The 24,960-nt window shown below is 52.2% G+C and overlaps 1 protein-coding gene, 1 long non-coding RNA gene and 1 pseudogene across 2 annotated transcripts, besides 2 other annotated features; 2 read left to right on the top strand and 1 right to left on the bottom strand.

Moving 5' to 3' along the window:
- Positions 1-8,847: 8,847 nt before the first annotated feature.
- TPBGL (trophoblast glycoprotein like) lies at positions 8,848-11,778 on the bottom strand. The gene has a single exon (NM_001195528.2). It carries the CDS (start codon positions 11,500-11,502, stop codon positions 10,354-10,356), a length of 1,149 nt encoding a protein of 382 aa, NP_001182457.1. The 5' UTR covers positions 11,503-11,778; the 3' UTR covers positions 8,848-10,353.
- Positions 10,413-10,492: a silencer, noted in NCBI's record as "silent region_3760". NCBI's record gives its function as "represses an Ori minimal core promoter by ATAC-STARR-seq in GM12878 lymphoblastoid cells {active_cell/tissue: GM12878}" and the evidence as "EXISTENCE:reporter gene assay evidence [ECO:0000049][PMID:35858748]".
- Positions 10,623-10,872: a silencer, noted in NCBI's record as "silent region_3759". NCBI's record gives its function as "represses an Ori minimal core promoter by ATAC-STARR-seq in GM12878 lymphoblastoid cells {active_cell/tissue: GM12878}" and the evidence as "EXISTENCE:reporter gene assay evidence [ECO:0000049][PMID:35858748]".
- Positions 11,779-12,681: 903 nt separating the features above from the next.
- On the top strand, positions 12,682-18,132 carry LOC124902717 (uncharacterized). Its single transcript, XR_007062783.1, has 2 exons — positions 12,682-12,906; positions 14,455-18,132. It is a non-coding gene; the product is annotated as an uncharacterized LOC124902717 (long non-coding RNA).
- ZDHHC20P3 (ZDHHC20 pseudogene 3) lies at positions 23,900-24,238 on the top strand (annotated as a pseudogene).

The raw sequence follows: 24,960 nt of genomic DNA, 5'->3' as shown, positions 1-24,960 counted from the left end.
AAATTTATATAGAAAGGTAAAAAATCTAGAATAGCCAAGCAATTTTTATAAAGAAGAACAAAGTTGAAGGACTCTACTATCTGGTCTGAAGACTTACTAGAAAGCTACAGTAATCAAGACAGTGTGGCAGTGGTGAAAGAATAGACACCTATATCAATGGAACAGAACTGGGAATTCAGAAATAGACCTGCACATAGGTGGTCAATTGATTTTCAACGAAGGCACAAAGGAAATTCAGTTGTTGTTTTCAACAAATGGTTTCGGCAAAGATGGAGAGGGACTAGAACTCTCATACACTGCTAGTGGAAATGCAAAATGGTACAGACACTTTGGAAAACAATGTGGAAGTTTCTTATAATAAATTTGAACATACTCACTATAATATTCAGCAGTTCCACTCTTCAAAGAAAAAGTGGCTGGGTGCAGTAGCTGATGCCTATAATCCAAGCACTTTGGGAGGCCAAAGTGGGAGGATTGCTTGAGCCTAGGAGTTTAAGACCAGCCTAAGCAATATGGTGAGGCCCTGTCTCTACAAAAAAGGAAAAAATTGGCCAGGCATGGTGGTGTATGCCTGTGATCCCAGCTACTCAGGAGACTGAAGAAAGAGGATCGCTTGAGCCCAGGAGTTCAAAGCTGCAGTGAGCTGTGTTTGTACCACCGTACTCCAGCCTGGGCAACAGAGAGAAATCTTTTCTCAAAAGATAAAATAAAATAAAGAAAGAAATAAAAAGTGACATTCCTTCAAAAACCTGTACATGAATGTTTACAGTGGCTATATTCATAGTTGTCAAAAACTGGAAACCACCCAAATGCTCTTCAGCTATTGAATGGATAAATGATTGTACAACCATATGATGGAATACTACGCAGCAATAAAAATGAACAAACTATAATGATACCTACAACATGGATGAGTTTCTACTGCATTATGCTAAGTGAAAGAAGTCAGATTTAAAAGGACAAACATGTATGATTCTACTTATATGACACTGTGTCAAAGGTAAAACGATGGAGACAGAAAACAAAGCAGTAGTTGCCAATGGCTGGACTTGGGGGGAGGGCTGCTATGAAGAGGGATTTTGGGGGGCAATGGAACACTCTATATCTTAATTGTCAAAACTCATAGAACTGTATGCCAAAAAGAGTGGACTTTGTATAAATTTCAATAAAAAGAAATGGAGCAATTTACAGCTCACAACTGCAAACGATATTTACTGGGCATGTACCATTTGTTGGGGCTTCTGCTGGCCCTGAAGACACTAAGATTAAATGAGACAATCCTGGCTGGGTGCAGTGGCTCATTCCTGTAATCCCAGCACTTTGGGAGGCGGAGGTGGGCGGATCACTTGAGGCCAGGAGTTCGAGACCAGCCTTGCCAACAAGGTGAAACCCTGTCTCTACTAAAAATACAAAAATTAGCTGGGCATGGTGGTGGGCGCCTGTAATCCCAGCTACTCTGGAAGCTGAGTCATGAGAATCTCTTAAATCGGGGAGGTGGAGGTTCCAGTGAGCCGAGATTGCGCCACTGCACTCCAGCCTGGGCGATAGAGCGAGACTCAGTCTCAGAAAAAAAAAAAAAAAAAAAAAAAAAAGACAATCCCTTCAGTCAAATTGCTTACAGATTAATTGGGGGATAAGGCATGATGCTAAAGGTTTGGAATTGCTGATGAGGAGTATTGCAGAGGGGGCCTGTTGTGTAGTCACAGCGTGCCATGAGAGCACCTAAGGAGAGGTCTCACATTTAGCCAGAGTGGCCAAGATGAGAAATAGGCAGCTTCCAAGAGGACGAAATGCTTGAACTGAGTTTTTGTTTTTTGTTATTTGTTTTTTGTTTTTTGAGACGGAGTCTCACTCTGTAGCCCAGGATGGAGTGCAGTGGCACAATCTCTGCTCACTGCAACCTCCACCTCCCGGGTTCAAGTGATTCTTCTGCTGAGTAGCTGGGACTACAGGCACACACCCACCATGCCCAGCCAATTTTTGTATTTTTAGTAGAGTCGGGGTTTCACCATGTTGGCCAGGCTGGTCTCGAACTCCTGACCTTAGATGATCCGCTCACCTCGGCCTCCCAAAGTGCTGGGATTACAGGTGTGAGCCACCCCACCTGGTCTTGAACTGAGTTTTTAAGGGTAAAAAGGGAATTAGGTAGGCAAGGAGGGGCTACAGACCTTCCAGGTAGAAGAAACAGCACACAGGGAGGCTCAGGGTGAGACAAGCTGGGGCCTTCAGGCAACTATAACCACATTGGAGTGACAAGAGTGAAGGGAGCTGGAAAAGCTGGCAGGAGATTTGATTAGTGGGTGGAAGTTACAGATAATCAGTTAAAAAAAAAAAAAAGCTTTTTGTTTGTTTGTTTGTTTGTTTGTTTTTTGTAGAGATGAGTTCTTGCTATATCGCCTAGCCTGGTCTCCAACACCTGTCCTCTGATCCTTCTGCTTCAGTCTCCCAAAGTGTTGGGATTACATGTGTGAGCCACTCACTGCACCTGGCCTCAAAGATCTTTGTTTTTATCCAGAAGACAGTGGGACAGGTTTTAGGCAGAGTAAGGAGAGGGATCAGATTCACGCATTTTCACTGCAGTGTGGGCTGCAGTGTGGGACCAGAGAGGGGGGCTGCAGGCTGGGGGAACAGGGAGGAAGCTGGGGCAGGGATGCAGATGAGAGAAGTCCAAGCTGCGACCAGGTGGGGAATGAGTCTAAGGACAGTGTGGGGAGGTGTAGGAGTAGAGTGGCCAGAACTTGCCTTCCACCTGATGTTTGAGTATTTGGTCTCAGCACCTTTGTGCTCGCTGCTGCTTCTGCCTGGATTAACTTTTCCTAGATTCTCTGCATAGCTTGTTCCTTCCCATTCTTCAGGGTAGGTCGCCCTCAGAGGGGTCTTTCATGACTTACCCCACTCAAAGGAGACCTCTCCTTGTCACTCACTCTCACATTACCCTGCTTATTTCCCTCATAAGTATCGTGCTTGTTTATGGTCTAAATAAGAAGAGGGCTCTGGAGCAGAGCCTGAGTTCTAAGCCTAACTTGGCCTCTTATTAGGAGTGTGATCTTGAGCAAATTATTCATCTCTACGTGCCTTAGTTTCCTCATTTGTGAAGTAGGAATAAGAATAACTGCTTCACAGAATTGTCATCAGGACAAGATGGATTAATATATATAAAGTACCTAGAACAATCTCTGGCACATAGTAAATTCTGTATGTGTTAGTTTTTACTATTACTGTTTTATAAGGACAGAGATCTTATTGGTTTTCTTTCTTTTCTTTTTCTTTTTTCTTTTTTTGAGATGGGGTCTCACTCTGCTGCCCAGGCTGGGGTGCAGTGGCATGATCTCGGCTCACTGCAACCTCCACCTCCCAGGCTCATGCAATCCTCCCGTCTCAGCCTCCTAAGTAGGTGGGATTACAGGAGGGCGCCCCTGCGCCCAGCTATTTTTTGCATTTTTTGTAGAGACCGGGGTCTCGCCATGTTGCCCTAGGCTGGTCTCAAACTCCTGAGGTCAAGCAATCCGCCGGCCTCGACCTCCCGAAGTGCTGGGATTAGAGGCCTGAGCCACCACACCCGGCTCTAGTTTTCTTTAAAATTGTATCCTCATCTTCCTAGCACAGTGCTTGGCACACAGCAGGCACTTACATACTTGTTGGATTGTTGACTGAACGAAGAAAGGCACTTTCCCATCTCCACCAGCAGATGACGCATGTATACCAAGAAAAGTTAAAGCTGACTCGGCTCCCACACGGATCGGCCAATAGATGTCGCTGCAGCTCCCTGTGGGGAGGAACCAAGACTAAGCCAGTAGCAGGGGCTGCCCAAACAGAGCCCTGGACAAAGATCCCAAACGCAGGGCCAGAAGTTGTAATTGTATTAAAAAGCCAAAGTTAGCCAGGCGCGGTGGCTCATGCCTGTAATCCCAGCACTTTATGAGGTTGAGACGGGAGGACTGCTTGAGCCCAGCAGTACAAGGTTACAGTGAGCTATGATAACGCCACTGCATTCCCAGCCTGGGTGACAGAGGCCGACCTCATAAATAAATAAACAAATAAATCAGTGCCAAAGTTAAGAGGCTAAGACTAAATTGTGTTTTGCATGACCACATATTCTAAAACTGCATTTTCTTTCTGCTCGCTCACTTTGTAGACAACGGAGTCAGCCATCCTGGGATCTTATATAATCGAAACCCCAGTTTAATGATGGGGGGGTTGTGGGAGTCAAAGGAAGCACCCATTCAACGTGCAGAGGGGTAGGCCACAGAGTCCTGCGTGATGCTTCTTCCTCTGTGTTTTGTATTTCTGTGGGGGCAGGGGCTGGGAGAGCGTTCACAAATCTCTGTGCACCCTGACTGGGGACTTAAAGTGACTGGGTCTGGCCTCTGTCCTGTGGGAGCTTCTGGTCTGGTGCAGACAAGAGGCAAGGAAACCAGTCCGTAGAAAGAAAGCTCTGGGTGGTACAGCAGTAGGAGAAAGACAGCGGGGTCATAAAGACTGGGGGACTCCTGGGCTGTCTTGAGTGCTCCCTGTGTTGGGGAAGGCATCCTAGACAGAGGGTACTGTGTGAGCAAAGGCACAGGGCATGGAAGAGCTGGGCCCTATTACTAACATCCCCATAGTTTGGTGCAGCTGGAAAATAGGGTTCAAAGAAGGGGAGTGTATTCGTTATTTATTGCTGGTAGATTTGCTGGTCTTGTCTAGCAGTCTAGTACTTTTTCTTTTCTCTCCAGGTCTTGTCAAAAGTCATTGAAGTCCAGGGCCCAGCATCTTGGTACAGTCCTAGTTCTTCTTCTTCTTCTTCTTTTTTTTTGAGACAGACTTTTGCTCTTGTTGCTCAGGCTAGAGTGCAATGGCACAATCTCGGCTCACTGCAACCTCCCCTCCAGGGTTCAAGCGATTCTCTTGCCTCAGCCTCCCGAGTGGGCATGTGCCACCACGCCCAGCTAATTTTTTGTATTTTTAGTAAAGACGGGGTTTCACCATGTTGGTCAGGCTGGTCTTGAACTCCGGACCTCAGGTGATCCACCCACCTCGGCCTCCCAAAATGCTAGGATTACAGGCGTGAGCCACTGCACCCAGCCAGTCCTAGTTTATTCTTGCTCCAATGTAATGATTAATAGTGGCCCCTTTCACTCCCGAGTTTGCCAGCTTGGATGATCCCCTAAGTTAGGGGCCTCCCTGGGATCCCTGTGCTTCCATGATCACAGTGTCCTGTGTGTGTGGTCACCATCTTGATCGAGAACAGGAGCAGGATCTGGTTCATCCAGGTGAGCCTCATGCTCAGATGATAGAAGCTCAGGAAGAATGAGTTTAATGCCTGGGACCTCAGAGCCTGGAGGTCCAGACAAGCCCCTTTCTCCTCTCAGGGAGGGGAGACATAACTCCCAGCAGGGCCGCTGCCTGCAAGATGCTGGCATGGGGCTCCTGAGGCCTGTCCGGAGCCGCTGACAGAGGCTGAAGAGTCCTTCCAACCCTCTACGGCTCACTTTCTTATTTTCATCTTCAGGCTACCTCAGGCTTGGGACTGGCTCCTGGATGCACTGACAGGGTGGAGATAGCAAGTTAGGAGGCGGGGTGGCTCTGCCAGACGCTCAGACCCAGGGCAGAGCAGGGGTAGCCCTGGGGCATCCTGGGCTCGGGATCTGCTCCTGACAATCTGTGTGACCTGGACGAGCTCCTGCATACTCTTGGCCTCAGTTTCCCCACCCATCCAATGAAGGGTTAGTTGAGGGTCTGCATGGGCCTGGCCAGCTCCTGGCAAATCGCCCTGTGACAGTGCTGAGGGAAGCAGGTGGGGGTGGTGAGGCAGGGGTGAAGGGTGGAGGGGGGACTCAGAAGGCAGCCAAGTGTATTATTAGCACAGGAATATTAACTGCCCCCGTCACTTCTCCCAGTCTGGGAAAGGCCATACCCATAAATTAGGGCCGAGAGTCTGCCAGGCAGCGGCTTAATGAAGAAGGAGATGGACTTCAGGGAGAGCAGGCAGTGCCTTTAGAGGTCACAAGTCCAGCCCCAGCCTGGACAGAAGGAACCCGGAGCCAGAGGCAGGCAGGGGTGTCCGAGGCCACAGTGTCAGGCTGGGCCAGGAAGGCAGGGGCTGGTTCTGCTGTGGTCACTGCTGAATCCCCAGACCCTGGCACATAGTAGGGTCTCAACTGGTATTTCTGGCTAAGGACTAGGTGACATGACAAGTCAGGTGCTGAGTTCAGACTCAAACCCAGTCCTCTCGACTCTAGCTAGGTCCTCCCTGGTTCCCAGCCCAGGTCTGAGGGTGTGAGTAGGTGAGGGGGCTTGGAAGCAAAAGGCTTCTCAAGGAGACGTCTTTGAAAGGCAATTTCACAGTGTTTTTGAGGTCACAGAACCTGGGAAGTCTGCCACATTTCTCCAGGTGTGCAGCTGGCTTCACATCTCCCACGTTTCTGACAGTCATACACACCTGTCCTCTCCTCTCCTGTTCTTTACCATGCCTGCTCCTTAAGGGGACATCCTAGAGGTAGATTTCTTCCTCTGTCATTTGGCTTCTGCAGGCAGGCCCCAGGCCTCTGGGCCTCTGCTCACCTCACACTCCAACAGCACTCCCAGTGTGTGATCAGAGGAGGAGGCTGGCCATTTAGTGGGGTCCTGGCACTTCTGAGAAAGAGTCTGGAGTGGATGGTGTCAGGGAGTCTGGGCAGGGCCAGTCGGCTGCTCCATCTCACTTTTTACTGCAAGGCTTCTCCGGGCTCCCCTCCCCTTCCCTTCTCTCACTGCCCTCATCTGGCCATGGTGTTGGTTTGATTCCTCTCTGTGTCTCCAGTGCCCAGCATGAGGCCAGGCACAAAAAGGATGGGCAGAAGGAAGGAACAACCAGGCTTTACAAGCAGGAGGCACAGTGCAGTTGCCTGTGCCCCCATCACACCTCTCTACCTTCCTGACTCTTCCTTCAAGGGCAGAGGTCCCTCTAGCGCTTCCCAGTGGAGAATGTGGTGAATGTAGTAGATCCATTCTACCCCATACGCATCCTCCTACCTACCCCCAGCCATTGCTGGCCTTCAATCCTCAGGCTAATGAGATCTTCCTGCCTCCAGACCTTTGCAGAAGTTGGTACTTCTGATCTTTCTCTGTTCAGCAAACTTCTACTCATCCGTCAAAACCCAGTTCAAATGTGACTTCCTCTAAGAAGTCTGTCTAGGTGGGGTCAGGGCTCTTACTCTGAGCTCTCATTATTTCCTGGGATTTCTTTTCTCCAGATCTTGATTAAATGTGATTCCTTCCCTGGATTGTTAGCTTTTCTAGGACTGGCAGAGTTGCATTCAGTAAGGGCTGAGTGAATGGCTGGGTTTGTAGAAGAGGTGAAGCTGGCGGCCCTGAACCTTGATAGCCCCATAAGGCTATAGGCCACTGACAGACAGCAAGGAGGATGGCAGCCCAGAAAAGACATTTAATGGGGATCAGTGAATGGTACTAACGTTAAACACCAACTGGCACACAGTAGACACTCAATTTGTTGATTTTTGATGACTATTGATTTGATACTTAGCAGTAGCTCTCACATACATCGTTGGAACTGGAGAGATCTACAGATTTACAGATCACCTCCTCAGTTCCAAGGACATGCTCTCTGCTAATGTAGCTTAAGACTACAGTAAGTCCTGGCAAGTGAAACTGCAATTAGCTATGGGTTGTCAGCAAAAATCTTTGAGGTTTTATGAGAGCTACTGCTAAACTAAGTATTAAATCAATAGTTATCAAAAATCAACTAACAAGCTCTAACTTGCGTTAGAGAGACCATCACTATATTGTCCTGGGGGACTGCGGGGCACCCTTTGGAGGTCATTGACAGAGGGGAATGTGTCAAGAGGACTTAATACTTTCTCATGAGGAATGACTTGGAGAAGGGGTAGAGAGCGTGCCGGGAAAAGACAAGGAGCCCCATGCACGGTCTCTGACTTGTGAAGAGCTGTCCTGGGCTGAGGGGTGCTCCTGGCCCCATGGCAAAGCTGGGGCTGTCAGAGTCCCAGGCAGGCTCCTCAGACACTGAAAGGAAGGGAGGGAGGGAGCCTCCCATCACGAGATGATGCCTCCTGTTGAGACAGCTTAGGAGGCTTCCCACATTACCTCTGCAGTCCTTTTCAATAGTTAGAAGGCACACATTCTAGAATTATGTGGCCCTGAAATTAGAAAATGCCAGAATTCTAGGCTTCTGCCCTATGGTTCTAGGGCTCTGTGACCCTGAATGCAAAACAATCCAGCCTGGGGACCTGGAGGCCCTCCTGGCCCTCCGGTCCCCTGGCTTCACATATCTCAAGGAGTCATTTCATCCACACTCCCCACACGCAGCCTCTCACATACCCAACACGCAGGTCTTACCCTCTGGCCAGGAGAGTGTGAAGTGACACAGGACATAAAGGAGTATCAGATAATAATTCATTAGAGGGGATGATCCCAAAGCAGCAAACAATCCCTCTTTCCTGTCTGAATTAACTCCTCATTCTCTGTAGCTGGATTTCCTCCCGGATGGTCTTGGCTGAGGCTAATGTTTCTTAGTCTAACTCCATCCCCATCCTGAAGATGAGGAACGGGAGGGAAGAGGATGTAGAGGAAGTGTCGAATCCCACTTTGGCTGTGCATAACCCCTCCTCCGATGATAGAAAGCAGGCTGGCTTGGGGAACAATGTCATCCCAATGGGAAGTCCCTCCATGTATCTAACCTTAATCCTGCTATGTGCAATCAGAACCCATTTCTCCTCCCACAGTCTGGGAGAACGCATCAAGGGTCACTGCCCCACCAAAAAGAAGTCCAAAATGCCCTCCCAAGAGTCCCCTCCCACCCCCATCAGTACTCCAAGGTCAGCAGGAATGATACGGCACCACTAACAAGAGTAGAGTATCTGAGATTATTGCAGACTTTATAGAAAACTGCTCAAGGGAGATCCAGATTTTCTGGGTATGGGGAGGGCAGGCAGGCCTCAAGCCAATATATTAAAGGAAGGTGACTTCCTGTGTGCAGACGCAGCACAGGCCAGCCATTCTGCCTGATCTAGAGGGTGGGGAGTCAGGGAGAGGGGGTCCTCTCCCCCACTCACCAATTGTGCTTTGGGATCATGGAGAAGGCAAGGTGCTGAGCTTCTGACCCTGAACCAGGAGGGCTTGTGCCTGAGGCAGGAGGAAAGACCTACTTCTCTTTCAGAAGATACACGGGGTGAGGTGGTGGTGGTAGCGGTGGTGGCAAGGAATCCCCAAGGGCGAAGAGCCACAGGGGTGGGAGAGAGCATAGAGAAATCGAAGGGCAGCAACTTCCAGCCCTTCAGACCCCACTTCCTGCCCCTCTCTGAGGCCACGATGCCCCACTATCCCTTTCACACACCCAAGACTCTCTCCTTCCCTACAAGGATCTGCCAGTATGCACTAGGGGTGCATGGCACCTGCACCTATCCGGCAGGACTGAAGAGCTCGTCCTGGGACGAAAAGGGGATGAGGACATCCCAGGGACGGATTCCTCACTGGACCTTGACTAGTGAATGGCAGGGGTGGGTGCTGAGTGCCAGCATTGGGTATGGGGGGGGGGTCAAGAGCCAAAGGCTTGGGCAGGAGGACGAAAGTCAGATCGGGGTGAAGAGCTGAGAGTCTGAGACTGGGGACCAGCACTGAGTATCGGGAGGTCAGCGCCCTGGTGGGAAAGGCTGAGAGTTGGCTCCACACTAAGGCTAGATGGGCTGTGCTTGTCCCTGGGATGGGAGGGACAGACTAGGAGCTGAGCCCCATGCCTGAGCCGAGGAAGGGAAGGGCCTGAGCCAGAGGCGGGGGTGGGTGAAGGGGGGGCAGGGGTATGAAATATATTCTTAGATGAGGGGAGGGTGCCCAATCCTCAGAGCCCCAGGGTTGGGCCTCCATGCAGGATGGAGGGCTCTGAGCTCTGGGATGGGACAAAGGGCTCAAAATCCACAAAACCATTCTGATGGGGGTGCTGTGCTTCGAGTCCAGAATGGGATGGAAGGGCCCTCAAGCCCCGGAGGGGACTGAGGGCTCCGAGCTGGCGAGGGAGGTCAGTGCAGTCTCGGGTGTCGGAGCTCCAAGCACAGGGTGCTGGGGGCAAGTCTCAGAGCTTTGGCCTTGAAGGACAGATTCTCTGTGTGAGCTCCGAGACGGGGAACGGACTTTCAGTGGTTCAGGAGGGAGGTTTCGGAAACTAGGGTGGGCAGGCGGGGTTTCTGGATTCGGACCGGCTATCTCTGGGTCTTTGACGGTGGGAGCTCTCGGAGGCGGGAACGAGAGGGTACGGCTTAGCGCCTCCGAGTCAGGGGAAGGTCTCAGAGCTCGGGGCTCGCGGGTGTCTCATCTCCACGGCTTCGGGCCAGGCAAGGGAAGCCCCGAGCCCGGGGGCGCCGCTCAGAGCCCCGAGCCCGGGGAGGTGGCGCGGGAGCCCGCGGGCGCGGCGGGCGCGGGCGCGCGGCGCGGGTCGGCGTCCTGCTCGTAGCGGTAGTGGTAGCCCTCCATCTGGTCCCGGCACGCCTCGCGCAGGTTGCGCATCCAGCGCTGGATGCCGCGGCGGTTTAGGTAGAGCACCATGAGGAAGATGAGGCCGATGAGTGCCAGCACCAGCCCGAAGAACACGTAGGAGGCTTCCAGCTCCGGGCCGGCGGCCTCCGCCTCCTCTCCGCGAGCGTCGGCGCCGCTGTCCGCGCAGCGAAGCCGCGCCCCGTCCAGGTCCAGTAGCGGCCGGTCTAGCAGCGCCCGCGGGGCGGCGCAGCGCAGGCGCCGCGAGTCGGGCACGCGCTCCGTGGCGTTGCGCAGCCAGGCCAGCAGGGGGCGTGCGGCACAGCCGCAGCGCAGGGGGTTGTCGGCGAGCAGCAGGCGCGGCCCGGGGAGGCCGCCATCGCGCTCCAGCGCGCGCAGCTCGTCGGGGTCCAGGCCGGCCAGCGCGTTGAGGCGCACGTCCAGCTGCTCCAGGCGCGCCAGGCGCAGGGCGGCTGGCGGCAGACGGCTCAGCGCGTTGCCCGCTAGGCCCAGCAGGCGAAGCTCGGCCAGCGGTGCCAGCGCAGCGTCCAGCGCGGCCAGCAGCGCGGGGCCGCCGCGCACCAGCGCGTGGTTGAGCTGCAGCGAGCGCAGCGCGGGCAGCCCGCGGAAGGCGCCGCCGCCCAGGGCGCGCAGCGGGTTGTGGCTGAGGTCGAGCGCCGCCAGGCTGGGCAGCCCGTCGAAGGCGCCGTCCTCCACCACCTCGATGTGGTTGTGCGTGAGGCGCAGCGCGCTCAGGAGCGGCAGGCGCACGCCCGCCGCCTGGTCGCCGTCCCCGTCCCCGCCGGCGAAGGCGGCCGCGCGCAGCACCGTCAGGTTGGCGCCTACGATGGTGAGGTTGCGCGCGTCGGGCGGCACGTCCCGCGGAGGCTGGCGGAGCTCGGCTCCCGACGCGCAGCGCAGCAGCAGCTTGGGGCCGCCGAAGCAGTAGCACTGGAAGGGGCAGGGTGCCGCGGGCTGGCTCAGCGCCGCCGCCACGAGCAGCAGCCCCTGGAGCCCCGGCTGTCCCGCGCGCGGGGCCATCGCGGCCGCCCCCGCATCCAGCGCCCGGGCCGCCGCGCTCACCAGTGAGTTGGGAGCGCCTGGTGGGGGGCACGGGTGGGGCGAGTCCTTGACCCGGAGCGGCTGGCAGTCCCGGTCGGTCCGTTCGCTGTCTCGAAAGTCTGAGGAGCCGCACTTACTGGCTGACTGGCCGGGGGCAAGAGGGGTCAGACGGGGAGCGGAGCCCCCCGCCCCCGGTGCCCTCGCCCTGCGCGCCGGCCTCCGGCTTCCGCGGCCGCTCCGGGCTCCGAGCCGAGTGGGCAGGGTTTGCCTCCCCCCTCCCCGCCTCCCGGTCTCGTCCTCCGCCCCCAGCGGAGTCTCCGCGCCCTCCTCGCCGTGGGAGGCGGGGTGGGAGGCTCCCGAGAATCAGGGCTGTCGGCTGCTGCGCTTTCTCTTCATCCTCTCCGCCCCCGCCCCTCCGGGCTGCCGAGAAGTTTGGCTCCTGGAGGCTCCGACTTGGTTTTCCTCCTCCTCCACCCCCAACATTTAAGCTGGGTCCTTCCTCCTCCTTCTCCAGCACGTGTGGGGCGGGGCCCGACTGCGGAGAGCAGGCAGGTGGGTCACCACCAGGGAGAATTCGGGGGTTGGGGAGGACTTTAGAGCTGCTCCTACTACCGGAGGAAGGGATGAGGGGTGGGCTGAGAAAGTTACTCATTTTCCGGCCTCTTCCTAAGGCAGAGAGACTGGAAAATCCCCAGTCTCTGCTTCCTCCTCTGCGACCCTAGTTCCATTAGACCTGGCTGTGTCACCACCCCTGCAGGTCCTATGGGACCAGCTTTTTCTCCATCCCATCCCATCCCATTCTCAGGAGAAGTCTGTGGCACCCGCTCCCCTCCCACCCACCAACTCTGGCTGCTCTGCCTCTGCCAGGAGTTCCCCCGTGTGGTTTCCTCCACCGGGCTGGGCTTCTCTGCCAAGCACTGTCCTAGGCACAGAGACCCGGGGGTGTAGTGATTCTGCTCTTTGCTTTCACTCCCTGCCCCCAAACCTCTTAAGACTCCTGGGGTTCCGTTGGACACTGTCAACTAGTCCCTCCAGGCTTCTCCGCCTGTGAGTGGGGTTTGGGGCACCAGAGGTTGGGAGAGCAGGAGCAGATTTTGCAGCATGGAGTTGGGGGTCTCAGAAGGGGCCAGGGCTGAGGGTGGGGGGGCTGAGCTGTTTACAGATTTGTTTTGTTCTGGATTTTTTTTCCCCCAGAACTGGGAAGCTCTAAACCTGATTTAAAGAGACAGGCTCCTGAGAAGGGAGGATTCCTGGCCTTAGCATGAATTATTCAGGCTGGAGAGGCTGACACTTGATCCGCAGGCCATTCGGGTATCAGCAGAGCTGGTTGGAATAGAGGCTCCCCACCTCCTCCCAAGAATCAGTCTCTTTCTCCTGAATTGGGTACGGTTGTTATGTTGACTCCTTCCCTGAGGTTATATTTAACAGATCGACCAAAGGATCAATACCACTTAAGGAGAAGAGGCAGACCCTGCAGTGGCCTGGGTCTTGGGCAAGGACCAACATTAAGGAACAGAGCTGGTGATGATGGGGGTCTCCCAGCTCTCCCCTCCTCCAAGCCCCTCTCTCTTCCCTACCCCCTGTCTTAACTCTCCCAGGTATGAGAGCTCAGATGTGTCTCATGCAAGTCCATGCAGACTCATTCATATGTGGACATAGGATCGTAGGTTTGAGTGCGTCCTGGCATGTGTCCATAAATTCATAAAGACATACATATTTGAATATGCACACTTCTGAGCCCATGCAGGTTCGTGGATACATTCTCAGAGGGCAAGCTTACAGGCCCATGCTTAAGCCATGCCAAGCATAGGGACCCAGCGATTGGCTAGCACAGTCAGACCCTACTCCTCCTGCCCTGCACCATGCCCTTGGTCTGTGGAGGTAACAGGCTGGTGATGTCTTTTCTCACATGGGCACACGTGCTCAAGTAGATGCCACTGGGGCTGGGCCCCCAGCTATAGCCCTCCCCTAAACCCCGGCCCACACAGCAACATGCCCCAGCTCTGACATCTCCCCTGGTAGGAGGCACTAGGTCGTTTTCACTTTTCTGTTTCCAGTATAGAGACTATCTCAGGAGAGTGTGTGGTGCAAATGACAGACTGAATGAACAGAAGTCTCTGTTTCCTTGTCTGCTTCCAGGCCCTGAGGAATCAGACCACTACCAAGGCTGGAACTCCTTCCCCAGGCCCCGGTGGTGGCTGGCCTCAGATTGGCTGATGCCCCCCTCCCCTGCTGCCCCCCAGGAAAGGAGCTGCAGGACCACAGGCAGCCTTGATTGGGGGGGTGCTCAACACCTCATTTGGGGAAATGAGGCCTGGAGAGAATTTAGAATCATCAGGTGCCAGAGAATAAGGCAAATGTCGTCTGTTTTGCACAAATGGGGAAATAGGCCAGAGGGGCCCCAAGGCCCCTGTCAAGTTTTCAGAGTTTAGCCTAGAAACCTGACCCCAGGGTCCTTGCCCAGGACTCTGTCCAAGATGGTGGGCTGCATCTGAGAGGGTCCTGCACCACAAGGAATGCTTATCCTGACCCCAAGAAGCTGAGGCTGGGAATGGATGCCATGGTTGATCTGGTGTGACCTCAGGCCTTTCTCAATCTTGGGCTGTCACCTTCCTCTTCTATAAGGTAGATAGGCTTTAAATTCCTGTTCTTCCTATTCCTCTCAGGGCTGTTATGATAAAGTGAGTTGAAAGTGCCTCAAAACAAGAAAAAACATTTCACCTGGGTCTGGGGGCCTAGCACCCGTCCTGCCAGACCCTGGGTAAGGCATTGCCCCTCTCTGGGACTAATTAGCTCCCATGTCATTTTTCCCTGTTCCATGTTCTTTCCTTCTCCAACACAGCAGATTTGTGGTGGATGTTAATGAGTCTCTGCTTGTCTCTCTGTATGGCCTCTACTCAGCCTCCTCTCCTCTCTTCCCACTTTGTAAAGGTGCTTCCCGTCTAAATTCTCCTGGAACCAATTTCTCTCTGTCCAAGTTCCCCAAGGAATCAAGTCTGCGAGCCATTGGGGCTGAGGGATCTCTGTTCTTTGGAGGAACAGCGCTCTCCATCTTAGATTTGCCAGTGTTCAGTATGCATTAAGTGTTCAATAAATGTGTGTCCACTTGAGTCTGAGGCTGTGTGTTTATTCTCTGATGCATCTGGTGGAAGTCTCTTTTCTTGGACTGTTTGCCCCAGCTGGGGTGCTCTCCTCTTGATTCTGTTTCTCCAGTCCAGTCAGCTGTCCCTCAGGACTTGTGAGTTTTGCCCCCTTCAGGGAGCCCTCATGGCTTCCCTCTCCATCCTTTGAACTTCACTGATCAATTAGAGGGCTAAGACTCCCCTGATCTTCTTGACTGTCAGCAGCTAGGGCTCAGGTCTGGTCTAATTTCTTAGGGATCAGTACAGAGAAGGCACCAGGGAATATTTGCTGACTGAAATAATGATTTAAAAATCTGTGACTCGAGCCTCTCATCCCTATGAGGCAAGCTCGGTGAGGACCCCTCATCTACACTTCATACCAGGAGATAGCTGCTCAGAAATGTTAAGTGCTTTCCCCAAGGTTGCACACCTGACTGGGACCTGAGCCAGATAGAAGCTCGGGTTTCTTGCCCATCTCCTTTGCCGCAGCCCCCCCTCATCCTAGGATCCCTCTCTCCTGGGAGTGTGGCTGGGTCAGATCCCAGGGGAGCCTGTGGGCAAAGAGCTCACGCCCTCAGGGTTTCCTTAGGACTCGGAAGAAGCGAGGCACCCCTCGCCACCCAAGCAGAGTGATCATCTGCCCTTTGCCCAGATGAGTACCCCTCATGTCAGCCACACTGGATCTTCACGCTTGCTTGAATTTATTACTCCACTAGGTCCCAGAGCCCTTCTCTTAGTATTCCAAGGTGTTGTCTCTACCTGAGCCTCTAGTGCCTTCGCTGGGCCTTTTCTGCTGGCACAGACCCTGCTGTTGATCAGCTCCACTAAGCCTTGGTAGGGAGCACAGAGTGTGATGACGTCCCTGAGATCACCCAGCAGGTAGCCCCTTCTCCAGCTCTGTTTTGTCATCAGAGGTGTGTCAATATTATTAAAGTCCTTGGACACACCTCAGTTTCCCTGTCTGCAAAAAAGTGTGTGTGGATGGGATGGTCCTGGGGGGCCTAGTAGTCTTGTGCCCCTTGGCATTTTAGGGATGGGGGTCAGGGAGGGGAAGGTCATACTGGGATTTGCCCAAGTTGGTGCCCCCACCTTCTCAATATATGACCTTGAACTTGGTACCACCCCAATTAAGGCCTTGGTTGCCCGACTAGAAAGTGGTAGGGGTGGCTGGGTGTGGTGCCTCATGCCTGTAATCCCAGAACTTTGGGAGGCCGAGGTGGGCAGATCACAAGGTCAGGAGATTGAGGCCATCCTGGCGAACATGGTGAAACCCCGTCTCTACTAAAAATACAAAAAAGAATTAGCCGGGCGTGGTGGTGGGCACCTGTAGTCCCAGCTACTCAGGGGGGCTGAGGAAGAAAGTGGTAGGGGTGGTCTGGGGTCCTTCTGGAGCGGATGCTGTAGCATCCTGAGATCCAGGCTCCCTTTGTCCTCTGTCCCAGCAGCCCTCCTGCTGCCTTCCCATCCCTCTGTTCCCCCCTCCTCCAAGGCAAATGGAGGAGCAGCAGGCGGCCTGACGTGATGAACTCAGCCACGAGGTAGTGGGGGAGGCCCCAGCTTCTCTCCTCTTGCTTGGCTTCCTTGCCAGCAGGGACGGGAGACTTCACTGTGGGCCTTGCCATTCCCATTTCTCACTCCCCCTCCCCTCCCCCACTGCTGTGAGACACAGGAAAATCCATAGGCCCAAGATTCATTTTCTCCGTTGAGTCAGCAGAGGCCAGCGCTGCTTCTGAGGGGCAGGCAACTGGCTTTTAAATAACTCTCTGATATTTAATACCCTCCTCCTCCGCTCTGTGGCCTGGGCCTCTGGGGAAAGGCTAGAATAAATGAGCTGGATGCGTCCTCCGAAAGTCCTAAATGTTCTTACCCCCACCTCAGTCTTCCCCCCAACCCCCAACTCTCAGACCATTGGAAAAGATGACTCCTTACTACATCTGTACCTTGCTTTACAGTTTCTAAGTGGTGGCAGGCTGGGTTTGTTGTCCCAGTTTAGAATGGGAAATGGACATTTAGAAAAGGAGAGAGATCCCACTTGACTTTTGGTCTTTGTCTGCTGTTGGCTGGCTGTGTGGCTGTGGGCAGGTGGGTCCCTGTCCCTCCCTGGGCTTCTGTTTCCTCATCTGTGCTGCAAGGTGGTTCGGCCAGTGGGTTGTTGTTGGTCCCCCTTGGCTGTGTAATGTTATGATTTGCTGTGCTGGCCTAGGTCTCCTTCCCTAATGAAGCCTCTGTTTCTCCACTCCTCTTCAAGGAAAGGCTAAAGGGCAGAGCCGACTGAGGCTAAAGGCCAGCTAAGGTCTGACCCCTAGGATTCCACTCTGTTGAGTCAGGGACAGGAGTGGGTAGGGGAGAGGGGAAAGGGAAAGGAGCAGAGTTGGGTGCCTTCCCTTCCCTTCCCTTGTCTTCCCTTCCCTCCCCTCCACTCCCCTCCCCTTTCATTATTTCTTGCTTTTGCCAGTAGAGGTTGGGACAGACCAAGGGCAATAACCTGTCTTGGTTCTCTTAAAACCCAAGGTCTCTACCACTGTGGATGCAGTTTAATGAGGTGGGAGCAAAACCCTCTTCCTCAGCTGTGCCCAGGCCCAGGATCCTGATCATGGAAGTTAGTGGGCCCAGTTCTCCTGGTTTTGCCACTGTTCTGCATTATTCAGAAGACAGGGATTGATATCTCTGTTGGCTATATGAGAACACTGGGAGGTTAAGAGCTGTGCTTGGGGTCATCCCAGATTAATGATGGAACAGGGCCTATAATCTAGGTTTTCTGATTCCCAACTCCGTGTTCATGCCACTTCCCTGATTCAGGCAGGAAGTTGGGGCCTGAGGGGTGAGCATGGGAGAGGCAGCTGGTTCTGTAGGGGTGACCTTTGTTTGCCCAACTTCTTTAGCCTCCTCTTGGGTCCTCATGCTCTTCTTCAATGTACTGAGCCTTCTGCTTCTAGAATCACAGAATCTTGGAATCAAAACATTGACTGCTAAGAACCACAGACTCAGAGAGCCATAGAACTGTGGTCTCTGAATTAGAACAAAGACTTATGGTATTGGTAGTATGGTGGTGGTGAATGAGACACTTAGAGCTTGTGGTAGGTTGTTAATATTGATGGTCCCAAATGAATTCTGCGTATCTGAGTCCATACTTTTATGTTGTCCCACCCCATACTGACTTTGGGTTGGCCGTGTGACTTCCTCTGGTTAATGAGACGTCAGCAAATGTGATGCAAGGAGAGTCTTAAAAAGTGCTTGTGCATTGGGATTCACCTCTTCTTGCTCCCCTGAAACTGCCATGTGTAGGAACACAAGCATGCCTTTTAGAGGAAGAGACCAGAAGTAAACCATCCCAGCTGGAGATGAACCAGCTCCCTGATGGTCTTCCGCCTGCCTCCAGCCACCTGAGTGACCCCAGATAAGACCAACAGAACTACTCAGCTGACCCGAGCCCAAATTTCTGACTCACAGAATTGTGAACAAATAAAATGGTGGTTGTTTTAAGTCACTAAGTTTTGGGGTGGTTTGTTACACAGCAGTAGATAACGGATGCAGAACCTCATCATTGTAGAATCTTGGTCATAGATCCAATATGCCCTGACAGTCACAGCATCGTGGAACCCCAGGACCAGAAACTGGAACCACTGATGTAGAATCCAAGAAACAGAAGAGTCCTGAAAACGCCTTAACTCCCACCCAATGGTACCCTCTCCTTTCACTGTCAGACCAGGTGACCACTCATCTTTCAACGTTGAGCCCTCTCCCCACCCACAGGTGTCTCTTATTCTTTAGCGTTGTGCCCATTCTGTCACAGTCTTCTGGTTCCACCCCTCAGCTGGCTTCTCAGTCCCTTTCTCTAGGAAGCCTTCCTATATCGATCTGCTTGCTCTGGTCCTGGGAGCCAAATGTGGACTTTGTGGAAATTTATCTTAGTATTCATCCCAGTTCCTAGCACAGTGTCTGGCCAGAACATATCTTGAGGACAACAACTGGCACCACCAACCACACTTCTCATTTCTTCCTGCCCTGTTGCCTCACAACTGGCAGTCCTGGATCTGTCCGTGGTCCTGAATGTCTTTTTCCTTCTTGCCAGTGACTGCATCAGACTGGCCACTTCCCACATTCCCCACATTCCATTGTTTCACCCTCCCCCATATACAGATCATTAGCCTGGACTATTAAATGCAAAATAATATGTGGTGATGATGATGCATATTAATTAGGATTAGTTTCAACTATATGCGTCAGGATGCCCACATGAATTTCTTAAATGATAGAGAAATAGAAGTTCAGTTTCTTTTCTTCTCATAAAAGAAGGTCCAGATGTAGCCCAGAGTCTGAATGGTCTCTCCATAGTCATGAGTACCTCACATCCTTCTAGCCTCCCACTCTGCCTTCCCTATAGTTCTCATTGCCATGGTCCAAATGGCTGCTAGAGCACCAGCCATCACATCAGATAGCAGATGGAGGAAAGCTATAAATAAGGGTACCCCCTTTCCTTTATTGGCACTTTCTATACTTTCATTCAACACTTTCACTTACATAAGCACACCTAACTAGCTTCAAGAGGCTAAGTAAGATAATGTGTCCAGCAAAACGTTATGGTCCTTATTACTGAGGAGGAAGAAGAAATAGCTATTGAAAAGCAACTACAAATCTCTGACATTAGTAATGGAACAGAGGTGTTGATGGTGACAGAGATTGTGGTATAATAGTTGTAGTGTTAGTAATGGTGATGGTAATAGTGGTGGTGTTGGTGGTGGGAGAGTGGGGGTGATAATGGTGATGATAGCACGGATGGTGATGAATGAAGCTGGTGGCTGGTAAAACTCAGATCCAGGAGCACACACTCCCTTACACATTAGCCTGGACCAGGAGAATACTGGGAGATGGACCCGGTGACTGCAAAGTGTCTGAGCCTTGGGGTCTGCTCCAAGCCATGCAGGAGTGATTCTGGCACCCCTGCTATTTGCAGTTCATCAGTTACAAGCCTCCTGCCTTCTTGGGTACAAGTCATCCCCAGCAGAACATGAATCAGATTCCCCCTATCTAGGCTGGAAATAACTCTGGAATGAAAATTTTACGCCTTAGGGATGTGAAGCAGGAAGGGCAATATTGGACTTCCATTTATTAGACAATAAGCACTGATGGAATTTGTGGTTATAGTCAAGAAAAGTTTTGCTGTGAAATAGAGAAACACATGGACACATAGCTTCAGAAATAGAATCAAGTCATTACAAAAACAGAGAGAGAGTTACAGAGATGCAGAAAGGAACAGGCCCACAATCAGAAACCAACAGGCACAGACACACTAGTCTCACAAGGATGGCCAATCTGTCTCCCCAAAGAGATATGGACACCTGGCCATTTTTTTGTTGTTGTTGTTTGTTTGTTTGTGCGCTTGCTTGCTTGCTTGCTTGTTTGAGACAGGTCTTCCTCTGTCATCAAGGCTTGAGTGCGGTGGTGCAATCATAGCTCACTGCAGCCTTGAACTCCTGGACTCAAGCGATCCTCCTGCTTTAGCCTCCCAAGTAGTTGGGACTACAGGCACGTGTCACTATACCTGGCTAATATTTAAAATTTTTTTGTAGAGACAAAGAGTCTCACCATGTTGCCCAGGCTGGTCCTGAACTGTTGGTTTCAAGCAGTCTTTCCACCTGGCCTCCCAAAGTGCTAGGATTACAGGTATGAGCCACTGCCCATGGCCCACTCAGCCATCATACTCCAATGGACAACTTTCATGTTACCAGCTGGATCCTATGCACTGAAGATACCTAGGAGCCAGAAATAACAGTGATGAGGGGCTCAGAGGTCAGTAGCCAATCACAGAAGCGGGCAGTCTGACCTTCCGTGCCCCTCTCATCTACAATGTGATACTGCAGTAGTGCACCATGGCCTTCACCAGGCTCTGTGACTGAAGGTGATCAGAGGGGTGAGGCTTGGGTAGGAGGGGGTGTGTCCTCCAGGAAGTCTCCCTCCAGGGGCCCAAGGACACATCTGGAAGCCATTAACAGAGGGACCATCAGGCAGCAGGCTCTGACTCCAGGTGAGAAGGCGTGATGAGAACATGTGGCAGCCTCCCACTTGCTGGAGCTGGTGCATGGAGGACACCTTGGCACCGAGTAATTCCAGAATCACCCCCTGCCCAGCACCCACCTAGAATGTAGAGCTATCCACAGTGCGGGCCCTGGAGCTCACCTCTGGAACCTTCGGTGAGCTCACCTCCAGTTCACCTCCCGAATCTTTGACACAAGCTTTTCTGACCTTTGTAGTGACACTCTTTTTCCAGGAAGCCATCCTGATGCCTCCTTTGCCCCCTCCCCCACTTAGTCTCTTTCCTTTTCTGCTTCTGCTCAGAGCTGCTATAAGACATTGCTCTGACAGGCCTCCCATTTCCATTGATCTGTGCTTCTTTGGAAGTGACAGCCCTGCCTAGCTTCAGCTGCCGCAGTTCTCCTCTCTTTCCTGCTGGAGCATCTCCATTTCATGGCACTTGCAGTCCTTTCCTAGTGATTGAAGATGTCTGAGTCCCATCTTGGGTCTCAACCCCCTTGCTGCTAACCCTTGGTCCTGGGACTCATATGAATGACTGTCAATTAATTTCCTGCCACTGCAGCACTGGAGCTCCGGGTTCATGATGGAGCCCCAAGAGATTCCACTCTGCAGACAGATCATCTATTGCCACTAGCCCGTACCTCCAGAACTAGGGGCTTCCGCCACCCCAGAACGTCTCCCTTCCCAGCCTCATGTTGGCTATTTACCAGGATGACCTATTCTTGGCTTCCCCCAGTGGGTCTGGTTCTAGGTCACTGGATTTCCCTGACTGCGTTTCAGAGTGATAGAAAAAGCATTTAGCCCCAGGTTGGGTTGGGATAGCTTCCCCCAACCCCATACGGGTATAATACCCCTGGGGATCTCTATGAGCTCATCACTCACCGGAAGGCTGTGAGTGTGCAAGAAGACCTTGAAGCCTGGCCAGTACATTGATTATTGGCTGTCCCACATATTCCTGGACATAGGACATGAACCTCAGAACAGATGGATGAAAAGCAGGTTGTGTAGGCAAGAAGTTCCCTTGGGGCAACCCCAAACTCTGGGTCTCAGCAGCCCCCACAGCTCAGCCAGGATAGGCAGCTCTCACCCTGTTCTTAGCACAAGGACTGGCTGTGGTTGGGGCCTTAGCTTTGCCCTGCCAGTGTGTCCCCATCCCTGCCCTGGGGAAGGGAAAAAGAAGCCAGTTGGAAGTTCAGAAAAGGAAAGGCTAAAAAGGAGCCCACAATCGGCACTAATTAGCCACTGGGAGAGAGGAAAGGAGGTCAGAGGACTGAGTCTACTTCCGAAAGAAAGCATCTGGCAGGCAGAGCCCTGGTTGGTCATCACCCCTGACTGCCCAGCATTGGCTTGGCCCCACACAGGCCCACCTGACACTGCCCCAGCCCTGCTAGGGGCAGGGCTCCACCTCTGCCCATAGACCCTGTTCAGACCTTCAGACCTTCTCCTCTGGAAGAGGCAACTGGCTAAAAGGAAAGAGGGAAAGAGGGAGGGAGGGAAGGCAGGCAGATGCGATTGAGCACCCACTGTGTGCAGTGCACTGAGTTGAGAGCTTTGCATACAGGATTATGTTTAATTCTCACAATGGTCCTGAAATGTGGGTACCTTGGCCCTCAGCCTCCCAGGTAGCTGGGACAACAAGTTTTAAATACAGAGGTGGACCCTCAGGTTAAGTAGTTGATCCAAGGTTACTGAAGAGAGTCTGGTTCAGGCTGTGTATGCTGCAGTCTATATTCTCAGTGCTATACAATGAGCACTTGGAGGGCAGAGCCCTTGCTCACATCATCTCTGTGCTCCCAGTGCTCTGCCCAGGCACATGGTAAGTGCTGAGGAGCTGTTGAACTTGACAGGCAGGAGAGGCTGAGCCAGGAAAGGGCACAAAAAGAGGGAGACAGATGGAGGAATGGTGGAGGTGCAGCAGATGACTCCCATCCCACGGGACACCATGCAGGGGACCTCTGGGGGGAGCTTTCCTGAGGCCCAAGACAATGCTGGACAGTACACAGCCTTGTACCCAGCCATGGGGGGAGGCAGAGAAGGTAGAAGTGGGGGAACATTGTATTTATTTTTCCCTCTTCTTCCAATTCCCAGATGGTTACACTGAAGCAGAAAACACAATGAAGAACCTTTAAGCTCTTGCTGGAGCCAAGCCACCCATGCTGGAGCCAAGGCAGATCACCAGCAGGCCAGCTGGCCCAGAGCCAGCTTGTGATTCAGGGTTGGGGGACCAAGGGGTATTGAGGAGAAGAGGGCCTCTGGGTACGGCCACTGTGGGCATGATGCCCTTCCACATGGGCTGGACCTTCTGGCAGGGTCAAGTATCCCTAACGAGGAGAACAGGCAGTGGCATGGGGGCAGGGAAGTGGATCATCCTGTGTCCCTGAGAACCCCAGTAGCAACTGGGGTGTAGGAGAGACACACTGTGGGTCAGACCGACTTCACATAGTGGCTGAATCAGTCCTCACAACCATCACCCTGAAAGGTGATGATTCTCAGCCTTGTTTTTTTTTTTTTTTTGATGGAGTCTCACTCTGTCACCCAGGCTGAAGTGCAGTGGTGTGATCTTGGCTCACGGCAACCTCTGCCTCCTGGGGTTCAAGCGATTCTCCTACCTCAGCCTCCTGAGTAGTTGGGATCGCAGGCGTGCACTACCATGCCCGGCTAATTTTTGTATTTTTAGTAGAGATGGGGTTTCGCCACGTTGGTCAGGCTGGTCTCGAACTCCTGATCTCAGGTGATCCTCCTGCCTTGGCCTCCCAAGTGCTGGGATTACAGGCATGAGCCACCACACCCGGCCAGCCATAATTTTAAAGATGAGGTACGGTGGCTAACCCCTGTAATCCCAACATTTTGGGAGGCCAAGGCAAGAGGATCACTTTAGGCCAGGAGTTTGAGACCAGCCTGGGAAACTTCAGGAGACCTCGTCTCCACAAAAAAATTAAAAAAGGTAGCCGGGCATGGTGGCACACGCCTGCTGTCCCAGCTACTCAGGAGGTTGAGGTGGGAGGATCGTTTGAGCCCTAGGGGTTGAGGCTGCAGTAAGCCACGATTGGACCACTGCATTCCAGCCTGGGTGACAGAGCAAGACCCTGTCTCAAAAAAAAACGATGAGGAAACTGAGGCACAGAAAGGGTAAGTGACTTGCCTAAAGTCACAGTTGAGTTGGAGGAGGGCTGGGATGCCTCCCCTGGCTGTTTGGCTCCAGGCCTGCTCTTAATCATTATGATCTCCTGAGAGGAGCAGCGAGAAGCTTGCCTGCCTGTACCCCCCAGCAATTAAGGACCCCTTGGTATTGTGAAAAATGTCAGTGGAGTGTGTCTGATTAGGCTCATCAGTGCTCAGCATGGGACACATGTGTTTTTAAGATGGATCACCATTATCCCTGGCTGAAGAATTGCATGGGGTTTTCTAATTACAAATTATTCCTGCTGGATTTCATTATGCTTCCTCTTGTACTGGCTTTTTGTATTTTCAGTAATCTTATAAAACTTTGAAAATCATGATCAGTCAAGCTTATCTTCTAAGTCTTTTTTTCTTTTTTCTTTTCTTTTCTTTTTTTTTTTTTTTTTGAGACGGAGTCTCGCTCTGTCGCCCAGGCTGGAGTGCAGTGGCGGGATCTCGGCTCACTGCAAGCTCCGCCTCCCGGGTTCACGCCATTCTCCTGCCTCAGCCTCCCAAGTAGCTGGGACTACAGGCGCCCGCCACCACGCCCGGCTAATTTTTTGTATTTTTAGTAGAGACGGGGTTTCACCGTTTAGCCGGGATGGTCTCGATCTCCTGACCTCGTGATCCGCCCGCCTCGGCCTCCCAAAGTCTTCTAAGTCTTAAGAATATACAGCTAAGCTTTTATTAAGACAGTATTGTTACATTTTTTTAAAGTGAATGTTTGACTCAATATTACAAAACAGCAGTTACTTGAATTTTACCATTCCACGATTATAATGAGTCAGAAGAGAAGGTTGAACATTTATCTTCCTATAGAAAACCTTCATTCACTCAGAAAGCAAATTTCCTGTGGTAGAGAAAAGTTTTCACTTAAGTATTTTAAACTATTTTCAGCCAACAGCAAGTAGGCAAGAAGCCTGTGTTAATTTAATAATTCCTAACTGAGACTTTTCACTGATCACTGAAAATTCTTCCAATTTAACGGCATTAACAAAGACAGCAGAAAAGGAATGGTATATATCATTTTAAAAAGAAGAATATAGTTCAAATCCCAGCTAGGAAAAAAAAAATTAAAGAAGAATAAAACATAGTGATCACCAGGACCCAGCCTAGGTTTACT

Source organism: Homo sapiens, chromosome 11, assembly GCF_000001405.40.
Source record: "Homo sapiens chromosome 11, GRCh38.p14 Primary Assembly".
Lineage (NCBI taxonomy): Eukaryota > Metazoa > Chordata > Mammalia > Primates > Hominidae > Homo > Homo sapiens.
Note: the sequence above shows the minus strand (reverse complement) of the source record. Positions and strands in the feature narration are given on the sequence as shown.

Bases quoted from the DNA above. Each gene is read 5' to 3' on its own strand.
- TPBGL (NM_001195528.2), bottom strand. From the start codon at position 11,502: ATGGCCCCGCGCGCGGGACAGCCGGGGCTCCAGGGGCTGCTGCTCGTG.